Here is a 12,323-nt window from a genome sequence, read left to right as displayed (position 1 = left end):
TATTTACAAAACTGGGCAATGGGCTGGATTTGACACAAGCCCTACAGAGAATCCCATAAGAATGTTACGTGTCATTATTAAAAAGTCAAAAAACCGACGCTGCTGAGGTTGCAGGAAAAAATGGAAAGCTTATACACTGTTGGTGGGAGTGTAAATCAGTTCAGCTATTGTGGAAAGCAGGGTGGAGATTCCTCAAAGAGCTAAAAGCAGTAGCGTTGGACCCAGCCATCCCATCACTGGGTATATACACTAAGAGGAATATAAAGCATTCTCCCATAAAGATACATGCATGCAAATGTTCACCGTGGCACTGTTTACAATAGAAAAGACATGGAGTCAACCTAAATGCCCATCAAGGACAGACTGGATAAAGAAAATGTGGTACACGTACACCATGGAATACTATGCAGCCATAAAAAAGAATGAGATCATGTCTTTTGTGGGAACATGGATGGAACTGGGGGCCATCATCCTAAGCAAACTAAGACAGGAACAGAAAACCAACTACCACATGTTCTCACTTATAAATGGGAGCTAAATAAGAACACATGGACACAAAGAGGGGAACCACAGATACTGGGGTCTACCTGAGGGTGGAGGGTGGGAGGAGGGTGAGAAGCAGAAAGAAATAACGACTGGGTACTGGGCTTAATAACCTGGGTGAGGAAATAGTATGTATAACAAACCCCCATGACACAAGTTTACCTACGTAACAAACCTTCACATGTACCCCCAAAACTAAAAAGTAAAAAAAGAATGTTAGCTGTCAGCACTTCCGTTCAGTTTTGTACTCTCTCCCTATTCTTTATATCTGATATTCCACTATTATTTATATTTACCTAATTTATATTTGATAGGAAAGCAATCAGATAAAGAGGAGGTATAAAAGTGGAAAAAGGTGAAAATTAACATCTGTATGTAGGTATGTATGCCTAATAAATTACTCAATTTTAAATTATATGTAGTTATTAAATTGGGCTGGTAACAAATGTAACGATGAAATCCCACACAAAATCTAATAACCAGTTAAACGTGAGATCAAATGAACAGCAACTATAGAGGTAAAACATGCATAATTTAGAAAAGTGGCTATCTGTTTTGAGAGCTTTAAAATGCGGCTGCTAGATAAAAGGCTCAATGTGGTGAGGCAGAGGCAGATTCCCAACACATCAGTCATCCTCCATCAGTATAATATCATCCAAGAAGTACTGCTGATATTGTTATCAGGACAAGAAACTCAATGTTTCTATGAAAAGCCAAAACTAGACAAGAAAATTCTAAGAAGAATGATATTCACTCTGTTGATGTCTAGGCTGCACTTTAACATCTACGATAGAAGGTCACCATTTCCGGGGGCTAAATTTTGAAATATTTATGTTCATGAATTCCTACTTTACATTTAGCCCCCAAATAATGAGCAAATGGAATAGAAGGTCTCAATCGAATGGTATAAAAGAGACAAGATGACAGATTAATTCAATACAGTACCCTCCTCACTCCAGAAAAACAAACAAATCTTTAAAGTCCCGCTGAAAAAACTGCTGCAAATAAATTTGAGACATGACAAAGAATGCATTACGTAAACAGCTCTTCCAATCCATGATAATGATCAACAGCTCAGCGGAATTTTTTTTTTCTTTGAGATGGAGTTTTGCTTTTGTTGCCCAGGCTAGAGTACAGTGATATGATCTCAGTTCACTGCAATCTCCGTCTCCTGGGTTCAAGTGATTCTCCTGCCTCAACCTCCCCAGTAGCTGGGATTACAGACACCCTCAACCATGCCCAGCTTTTTTTCTTTTTGAGACAGAGTCTTGCTCCGTCGCCCAGGCTGGAATGCAGTGGCACCATCTCGGCTCACTGCCAGCTCCGCCTCCCGGGTTCCTGCCATTCTCCTGCCTCAGCCTCCCGAGTAGCTGGGACTACAGGCGCCCACCACCATGCCCGGCTAATTTTTGTATTTTTAGTAGAGACGGGGTTTCACCGTGTTAGCCAGGATGGTCTCGATCTCCTGACCTCATGATCCACCCGCCTGGGCCTCCCAAAGTGCTGGGATTACAGGCATGAGCCACCGTGCCCGGCCTAATTTTTGTATTTTTAGTAGACAGGGTATTTCGCCATGTTAGTCAGGCTGGTCTCAAACCCCTGACCTCAAATGATCCACCTGCCTCGGCCTCCCCAAGTGCTGGGATTATAGGCATGAGCCACTGTGCCCAGCCTATTAGAAGGATTTTGAAGAGTTAAAAAACTGCATATGACTTTTGTAATCCCAGCACTTTGGGATCCTGAGGCAGGTGGATCACCTGAGGTCAGGAGTTCGAGACTAGCCTGGTCAACATGGTGAAACCGCATCTCTACTAAAAATACACAAATTAGCCGGGCATCGTGGCGTGTGCCTGTAGTCCCAGCTACTCGGGAGGCTGAGGCAGGAGAATCGCTTGAACCCGGGAGGCAGAGGTTGCAGTGAGCTGAGATCTCACCATTGCACTCCAGCCTGGGCATAGAGTAAGACACTGTCTCAAAAAAAAAAAAAAAAAAAAAAAAAAAAGAAAAAAGAAAAAAAAGAAACGGCATGACTTTTAAATGTACTTTAAAAAAAAGTTATTACTGATAAGGTAAATAGCCAAAATGATGTACTACGTTTGACATGTGAGGCTGACAATGTCCACAATGTGTGACTGGACGCTGCTTTGTGATGGGTGAAGGAAAAGGTGCTCCTACATTAGTGAAGTGTAAATGGGTGCCATCTTTTTGGACGGTACTTTAACAATCTTTATCCGTTTTAAATGCAATTAGACCCAGCCGTGTGTAAAACAGCAAGACTGAAGACCATTTAGGAGTCGATTAAAAACAGGTGGGTTAATTTGAGCACCAACGTGCCCTGCATCCTTAAAAATGCACAACAATCAGCACAGAAAGTTGCCCCATCTGTAAGGCTCTTAATGCCATACACGTGCGCAGAATGTCTTTGGGTGATGAGCAGAAAATAGGGAAGAGACACTACGGGGGCAGGGAAGGACACACTTCCCGCCACACCTTCTCATATTGCTGCTCTTTCAAATTAATACTGAAAAAGGCCGGGCGCAGTGGCTCACGCCTGTCATCCCAGAACTTTGGGAGGCTGAGGTGGGTGGATCATCTGAGGTCAGGAGTTCGAGACCAGCCCGGCCAACATGGGGAAACCCCGTCTCTACTAAAAATATGAAAATTAGCCGGGCGTGGTGGCGGGCACCTGTAATCCCAGCTACTCGGGAGGCTGAGGCAGAATTGCTTGAACCTGGGAGGCGGAGGGTGCAGTGAGTAGAGATCCAGCCATTGCACTACAGCCTGGGCAAAAGAGGGAGACTTTGTCTAACACATACACACCAAAAATCACCAAATACTAAAAAGTACCTCCCATTAAAAAATCATTTTAGTAGAAGATAAGTAGACATAAATGAATTTCATCAAAACAATTGAGGTATTCTTACAATTACCCATCCATGGAAGACCAAAAAACTAGGTACACGTGAACACTGATGATAGAACATTGAAGTTTATGTGCTGTATTGCTCAAAATAGAACCATAGCAAGAAAATAAGCTTTTCTACACATTCCTATAAATATTTAGGGACAATATTGACTATTGGTAAATGGAAAAATACTTATTTCTGAGCACATGTTTAAAAGCTTACATCCTGACCACAGAACAATTAAGATTTTCTAGGTTTTTCTCCCCCTTCTGAGTTAACATAAACCACCTGGATACATGGAAATTGAAAGCAAAACACAGAAGACAAAGACTCTCAACTTAGGCAATGAAATTAAGAAGGAAGGTTATTTGAGAAAGAACGAATTTCGGACTGTCATATCTAAACACTTCTATATACACGTAATTTGAATTAAACATTTCCCTTACCGCTCTACACAATCCTTTAAAGGGGCTGGAGGACCAAGACGTGAACCAGGGCTGTAAAAACCAACAAAAGCCTCAGGGGTGGGTAAGGAAACGAGTATGGTCTAGGGACAGTGATTTTATTTTTAAGATGAGGTGATTGAGCAGGTTCATACATTCAGAGCTGAGAATAAATAAAGGTAGAAGAAGCAAGAAGACGATGAAGACTTTGTCTATATCCTGTCTTAGGTGACTCAAAGCATTTCATTTAAACTTTATATAGCATATATATATATATATATATATATACACACACACATATATATATTTATGTGTATATGTATTTTTTTTTTCTTCTTGAGACAGAGTCTTGCTCTGTCGCCCAGGCTGGAGTGCAATGGCGTGATCTCAGCTCACTGCAAACTCTGCCTCCTAGATTCAAGTGATTCTCCTGCCTCAGCCTCCCGAGCAGCTGGGATTACAGGAGCCCACCACCACGCCTAATTTTTTGTATTTTTTTTTTTAGTAGAGGCGGGGTTTCACCATGTTGGCCAGGCTGGTCTGGAACTCCTGACCTCAGGTAATCTGCCCACCTCGACCTCCCATAGTGCTGGGTTACAGGCGTGAGCCACCACGCCCAGCCTTACATAGCATATTAATACACACAGGGCATCACCGTCCTCACTCCAGGGTTCAAAGCTGAGGTTCTGTGGTGTTGACTGGGTTGCTCTGTTTCAGGGGAAAGTACGTTAATGCATACAGGATGATAACGCCTGGTATTTGCCAGTTGTCAGAGTGGGAACTGATCAATCAAGCCCCAGAGAAAGATGACTGGACGGCCTAAGGATTAATCTGGGATAGGCAGTCACTTTTTCCCGTGAAGTCGGGTGGGTGAGGAGTTGGGGAGAAGCTAGTTATTCGAGTCCAGGCAGGAATACAGCTGGAGGGAGGTAAAGGAAGGCTGCTGGTTGAGGTTATTTTCTGAGGATGAGTGACTTCCCTAAGCTTGCATTTTGTCTCTATGCTTTTTCTACAGACCGTACCCCTCCCACCTCACCTTTCTACCCAGGTGTCCTGAATGATTAGAAAGCAGCAGTTAAGATTATAGGGCTTGAAGTCTCAGACCCAGCTTTGAATGATTTGCTGCTTTCTACCCCAGGCAAGCCATTTAACTTATCTGGGGCTCAGCTTCCTCCCTTGGTAAACAGGACAAACAACACCGTCAGAATTGTATGGCATTTCAATAACTAAGTTACGGTTAACCATAGTATTTGCACAATTAGCACCAAAACACCCTCTGGACTCCTACCAAATGCAGACCAGACATTAGCTAATCCTGACATTCAAGTTGCAGTACCCCCTACTCTGTACTTAATTTTTACTTGAGACGAAGTCTCACTCTGTCACCCACGCTGGAGTGCAGTGGCGTGACCTTGGCTCACTGCAACCTCTGCCTCCTGGGTTAAAGCGATTCTCCCGTCTCAGCCTCCCTAGAAGGTGGGATTATAGGCACATGCCACCACGCCCAGCTCATTTTTGTACTTTTATTAGAGATGAGGATTTCACCATGTTGGCCAGGCTGGTCTTGAACTCCTGACCTCAGATGATCCACCTGCCTCGGCCTCCCAAAGTGCTGGGATTATAGGCGTGAGCCACTGCACCCAGCCCTCTGTACAGTATTTTAGACCGAATGTCTGAAAAGGACGAGAGACTTACCTAAATACCCCAAGTAAATATGAGGTTTTAGAGGAAGATCTTTTCAGCAAAATGGGGTAACTGGACTTTGTTCTTTCAAGGAATCCTTTGGTCCTGGGCTTTGAGCAGCCAGAAGGGAGAGGGTGGGGGCACCTAGTAAGCTCAATACGCGGGTTCTAATCAGCAGTGGAGAACAAAAGCGGGAAGGGCAGAGAGCAAGACAGGAGGAATACTCACCAGCTTCACACCTCACCACCAAGAGCAGGTCCAGCTCTGGGCCAGCTGGCAATCACGGAAAAAAGAAGGCCACGCCCAGCTCCACGCCCACGTGGCGATAGTTCCTGGGGAGCGCTGAGCCAGTGATGTTGCTGCTGCTCATTGGCTGCAACCGGCTCTGAACCACCAGCCCCAGGGAACAGGCACTTTTCTGCACCTGTGTGCACCACTTACAGGTGCTGCTGCTGGCAAGAGGCTGCCTTTACCACCACACACCTGTGCTGAGGGCGCCCGGATGCTCACAGCCTTCAGCTGGCTGTCCTGAAGCAATTAGTGTGTGTGTGTGTGTGTGTGTGTGTGTGTGTGTGTATGTGAGAGAGTGTGTGTGTGAGAGAGAGAGTGCATGTGTGTGTGAGAGAGAGAATGTGTGAGACAGAGACAGTGTGTATGTGTGTGAGAGAATGTGTGTGAGACTGTGTGAGTGGGTGTGAGACAATGTGTGTGAGACAGAGAGTGTGTGTGTGTGAGAGACTGTGTATGATAGAGTGTGTGTGTGAGTGTGAGTGTGTGTTGGGTGCCCTTATTTTACATAATCTGGAAGTTGCACTTGGCATTTTTTAATTTTTTGTGTATTGACAAATTATAATTGTATATTTTCCTGGGGTCCGGTGTGATCTTCTATGTATACAATGTCAAATGATTAAATCAAGCTAACAAACACATCCATTGCCTTGAATACTTATTTTTTTGTGGTGAGAACACTTGAAATGTACTCTCTTAGTAATCTTGAAACAGAAGTTTATACTTTTGATAAAGTCCCATGTATTTATTTTTAGTTTTTTTTGATGTGGAGTCTTGCTCTGTGACCCAGGCTGGAGTACTCAGTGCAAACTCCACCTCCTGGGTTCAAAGAATTCTCCTGCCTCAGCCTCCTGAGAAGCTGGGACTACAGGTGTGTACCACCATGCCCGGCTAATTTTCAGATTTTTAATAGAGATGGGGTTTCACTATGTTGGCCAAACTGATCTCGAACTCCTGACCTCAGGTGATCCACCCGCCTCGGCCTCCCAAAGTGCTGGGATTACAGGCATGAGCCAGTGTGCCTGGCCAAATGTGTTTGAAAATTCCATTTGAAGAATTTATGGTGAATGCATTTTAAAATTTATGGTCTCTCCTTAGGTCATGAAGGTCTTCTGATTAGTTTTTAGAAAGTGTAGTGTCTTTCCTTTCATATTTAGATTTATACTATACTTGGAATTAATTTTGTATATGGTATGAGGTAGGAATTCAGATTTTTTCTTCTATGTAGGAACAATCAATTTAGCACCATTTGTTACAATACTACCCTTTCCCTAGTCTTTTGTAATGTCAGCTTGTCAGAAGTCACGTGATCATGTTTATGCCCTTCTGTTCTGGACTCTATTCTGTTTCCCTAGTATATTTCTCCAATCTCTAATTACATGTATGGAAAATACCATACTGTGCTAGTTATCCTGAACTCTTTGCATTTCTTTTTTTTCTTTTTCATTTTTATTTTTTTGAGACAGAGTCTCACACTGTCACCTGGGCTGGAGTGCAATGGCATGATCTCAGCTCACTGCAACCTCCGCCTCCCCAGTTCAAGCGATTCTCCTGCCTCAACCTCCCTAGTAGCTGGGATTACAGGCGCCCGCCACCACGCCTGGCTAATTTTTTGTATCTTTAGTAGAGACGGGGTTTCACCATATTGGTCAGGCTGGTCTCGAACTCCTGACCTTGTGATCCGCCCACCTGGGCCTCCCAAAGTGTTGGGATGACAGGCGTGAGCCACCGCGCTTGGCCACATTTCTTCATATACTTTAGAATTTGCTTGTAAATTTCCACTAGAGTACTTTGGGAATTTTATGGTAATTGCAATAACTTTATGCATACAGCCAAGGAAAATTGTCATCTTTGAAAGACAGTGTTCCCATTCATGAAGTTTGTATATTTCTCCATTTATTAGGTATTCTTTAATTTTTTCTTTTGAGATAGGGTCTCACTCTGTTGCCCAGGCTGGAGTGCAGTGGTGCAAGCACGGCTTACTGCAGCCTCGAACTCCTGGGCTGAAGTGATCCTCCCCACTTGGCCTCCCAAAGGGGTGGGATTACAGGCGTGAGCCACTGGGCCTGGCCATGGCACAACTGTTGTTTTTTTTTTTTTTTTTTTGGAGACAGTGTTTTGCTTTTGTTGCCCAGGCTGGAGTGCAATGGCGCGATCTCGGCTCAACACAACCTCCACCTCCTAGGTTTAAGGGATTCTCCTGCCTCAGCCTCAAAAGTAGCTGGGACCACAGGCATGCACCACCACGCCTGGCTAATTTTGTATTTTTAGTAGAGACGGGGTTTCTCCATGTTGGCCAGGCCGGTCTCAAATTCCTGACCTCAGGTGATCCCCCCGCTTCGGCCTCCCAAAGTGCTGTGATTACAGGCGTGAGCCACTGCGCCCGGCCACAACTGTTATTGTTTATTCCTATTTGAGATTATTGACACCAGTATAAAAGAAATTTTATGCTTTTAAAAACTGCTTAATAGTACATAGTAATACATTTTATTTTCATATATCGAGTTGTTGTGTGTGGGATCTTACTAATTCACTTTTTAATTATTATTTTTTAATCCCCAGGGTTTACCAGGATTATCAGTTCTTGTTCTATGTATGTAATCACATTGTTTGTGAAAAATGACAGTTTTATTTCCATCTTTATAATGTTGTGTTTATTATTCCTCTTGTTGCCCTGTTACACTGACTAGGACCTCCAGTGCAAAGTTAAATAAAAGTTGTAATAGTGGTTGGGTTTTTTGCTCTCATTTTTATCTTAGGGAAAGAATTTTCACAAATAGTGAAATATTAGATTAAATTAACAATAAGCATGTTAGCAGTAATTTTTTAGAAGCCCTTCCTCAAATTAAATAAGTCACCATCGGTTCCAAGTTTGCCAAGTGTTTTTTAAAAATTGCAAATTGATGTTGAATTTTATCTTTTTTTTTTTTTTTTTTTTTTTTTGCATCTACTAGGTTGGTCTTCCTGAATCTGAAATAGTTCCTGCCAACTTTGTGTTCTTGTTCTGTCATGTCACTGAGGCCCTGCTGTGTTTATCTCAGCACGTTCCATCCACAGGCACATGATATCCATTTGTCTTCTTATTGGTGATGTTAACTTTGAGTACTTGGCTAAGGCACAATCTACCCTGTTTTCCCACTACTCTTACTTTGTAATTCACATGTAGTTTCTGGGGAGAACCTTAAAGACTCATGTGAGTACATCGAGTCTCCATCTACTGGTTTCAGCACCTTCTGATGGTTTCTCTACCACCACATTTCGTCTTTCATTTATTTGCTTTTTTTTTTTTTTTTTTTTTGAGATGGAGTCTCATTCTGTCACCCAGGCTGTAGTGCAGTGGCAAAATCTTGGCTCACTGCAACCTCCACCTCCTGGGTTCAAGTGATTCTCCTGCCTCAGCCTCCCAAGTACCTGTGACTACAGGCATGCACCACCACGCCCGGCTAATTTTTGTATTTTTAGTAGAGATGGGGTTTTACCACGTTGGCCATGCTGGTCTCGAACTCCTGACCTCAGATGATCCACCTGCCTCAGCTTCCCAAAATGCTGGGATTACAGGAGTGAGCCACCGCACCTGGCCTACTTTCAAAATATTCTTTTTCTTTTGCAATTGCCCTATGCTGCATCTCCTTTGCTGTGTATCTGTTGTTTAAATTCTTTTAAATGAAGACAAGAACCAAGGTCTCACGACTGTCATCCACATTTCTACCATTATTTGGTTTGATCATTAAATTATTCCAGATTTGGCCGGTGGGAACTCATTCAATCAGGCTCCTTGTTCCTATTGCTATGTCCCCATTATTATTATTATTTTTCAGAGACAGGGTCTCACTCTGTTGCCCAGGCTGGAGTGCAGTGATGCATCATGGCTCACTGCAGCCTTGAGATTCTGGGCTCAAGTGATCTTCCCACTTCAGCCCCCCAAATAGCTGGGACCACAGGCATGCGCCATCATGCCCAGGTGATTTGTAAAACATTTTTTAATGTAGATGGGGACTCCCTATGTTGCCCAGGCTGGTCACTAACTCTTGGGCTCAAGCAACTCTCCACCTTAACCTCCCACAGTGCTGAGATTACAGGTGCAAGCCACTGGCCTGGCCCCCATTGTTCTCTGAGCATTGTCTTACTTCTGGCACAAGATGTTCCAAGCCCATTCTGTACATTCCCAGCACCAACTGTGGAGTCAGCTCTTTCTCTGAAGATTCTTGGTTCCTTTAATGAGGAACGGTACTTAGAAAACAATACCTGAGCACCAGTGTGCTGTTTCTATGATACCATTGTTTCTACACTTAAGTTTCTTTTTCATGGCTGAATAGTACTCCATTGTGCGTAAGTACCACATTTTCTTTATCCATTCATCTGTTGATGGACACTTAGGTGCTTCCAAATCTTGGCTATTGTGAATAGTGCTGCAATAAACATGGAAGTGCAGATATCTCTCTGATTTACTGATTTCTTTGGGGTATATACCTAGCAGTGGGATTGCTAGGGTGGAGGTTGAAGACCCCAACTGCTCTGGCTTTTGAAATAAAATTTCTTCAGAATTAAGAAATCAACCTGGGCCGGGCATAGTGGCTCACACTTGTAATCCCAGCACTTTGGGAGGCCAAGGCAGGCAAATCACGAGGTCAAGAGATCAAGACCATCCTGGCCAACGTGGTGAAACCCTGTCTCTGCTAAAAATACAAAAAAATTAGCTGGGAGTGGTGGTGCACACCTGTAGTCCCAGTTACTCAGGAGGCTGAGGCAGGAGAATCACTTGAAGCTAGGAGGTGGAGGTTGCAGTGAGCCGAGATTACACCACTGCACTCCAGTGTGGTGACAGAGTGAGACTCCATCTCAAAAAAAAAAACAAAAAACAAGAGAAACCAACCTGGATGATACCTGATCATTACATTGTAAAAAGATGGCTGTTTCAGAAGGGGAAAAAAAACATTGTGATTGCTTTCTAGATCTTTGAGTTTTAAATGCTGCCATAACTAATTTAAGAATGTAGTAGTTAGTTAGGACCTTAAAAAGTTAAGAGTTACACTTCATTTTTAGAGCTCCTTAAACATGAGGTGATTTCCTTTTTCCAGTACTTGCTACATTTATTATCTTCCTTAGAAGTTCCTTGTGCACACTTTCCCCAGACACGTTAAGAACAGGTTTCTTCCTTAACAGTTGATGGACCAGTCTATTGGTAAATAAATCACACTCTAAAAAATTTCAAATTGCATTCATGCATATTTTTAATTAAATTTTTCTAATACCCTTGAAGATATGAAGACATATCTCCAAGAGATGTTTACATGACATATTCAAAGACATTCTGGTAGCCAGGAGTAGATGTGGGTTGGAACTCACCTTACCTTGGTGCCCCCAATGCAGTGACTAATCTATGTGTTAACACATGACACTCCATAACATTGATGGAGCTATTTGGAGGTCATGCCCTACACCAGTTCCCAGAACGAATGGAGCCATTCCAGAGTCAGGACGGCCCACAAAATAGGCAACTGTTTCCCAATTTCTCATTAGGAAAAAAAAAAAATACCCAGAGGGCCACCAGATCAGTCACCAGAGGGTCCAGATCGATTCATCTCTATTGCTTCATCACAGCACTAAGAATTCCAGTCCTGTATTATCTTCAGGAAGTCTCCTTCCACTACAGGGCCCTCCAGTCTTGCCAGCATATCCACTTCATTGCTGTCTTTCTTCTCCCTGGGAAGGATAAAAACAAGGTTTTGTTTTCTTACATTTGGTTTTCTTTTGCAGCCCCAAAACAAAGAGACAGAACCTCTAGAACAGAAATTTACCACCTAGGAGACCACCATGGCCCCATGCAGTAGGTCAAGACAAATAGGAGCACTCTTAGGAGCTCAGGAATGAATTCAAAGTGCCTTGGGGTTCAACCAAGACAGCCCCCATGATCCCTCCTCCTACAAATCACACCCTTGGATGGCTCCCTCTCTCACTGGACCAGGGCTGGACCATGGCCAATAAAACAAGGCAGACGTGATGGGACGCCACTTTCAAGATTAAGTAATAAAAGACTGTGGCTCTGTTTTGAGCTGTCAGTCATCTCTCTCTGCCACCATCTCCCTCTGCCTCTGCCTCTCTCAGCCTCTCGTTCTGGAGGAAGCCAGCTGCAATGTCATGAGCAACTCCCTGGAGAACAACTGAGGCCCCCCCGCCGCCCACAGCCACACAAGTGAGCCTGGAAGCAGATTCAACAGCCCTCATCAAACCCCAGCCAGTGGCTCAACTGAGACCTCGGGAGATACCATGAGCTAGAACCTCCCAGTTACATCGCTGTCGTATTTCTGACCCTCAGAAATTGTGTAAGACAATACGCCTTTATGTGGCTTTAAGTTACTAAGCGTTGAGGTAATTCACTGCATAGCAATAGACAACTCATACACCAGGAAAAATTGTATCTTTCACCCAGAACCCACCACTGGTTGAGAACATGTGTTAG

General features: G+C 43.5%; 2 protein-coding genes across 3 annotated transcripts in view; both read right to left on the bottom strand.

Annotated features, from left to right (window-relative positions):
• The window catches only part of NLRP5 (NLR family pyrin domain containing 5), a 75,036-nt gene extending 69,186 nt beyond the window's left edge, over positions 1 to 5,850 (bottom strand). The window contains exon 1 of the mRNA NM_001433705.1: positions 5,804 to 5,850. The gene's annotated coding sequence lies outside the window, so the exon portion shown is untranslated. The remainder of the gene's footprint in view (positions 1 to 5,803) is intronic.
• Positions 3,996 to 12,323, bottom strand: part of NLRP8 (NLR family pyrin domain containing 8) — a 40,798-nt gene continuing 32,470 nt past the window's right edge. Inside the window, exon 10 of one of the 2 annotated variants that reach the window (NM_001317000.1) lies at positions 3,996 to 4,811. In NM_001317000.1, coding sequence (NP_001303929.1) covers positions 4,712 to 4,811 — 100 coding nt within the window. In that variant the 3' untranslated portion in view covers positions 3,996 to 4,711. Of the gene's footprint in view, positions 4,812 to 11,466; positions 11,567 to 12,323 lie in introns of those variants that run through there. The other variant, NM_001433706.1, reaches the window with a different exon arrangement.

This window comes from Homo sapiens, chromosome 19, assembly GCF_000001405.40.
Source record: "Homo sapiens chromosome 19, GRCh38.p14 Primary Assembly".
Taxonomy (NCBI): Eukaryota; Metazoa; Chordata; class Mammalia; order Primates; family Hominidae; genus Homo; species Homo sapiens.
This window is presented reverse-complemented; position numbering and strand designations above follow the sequence as displayed.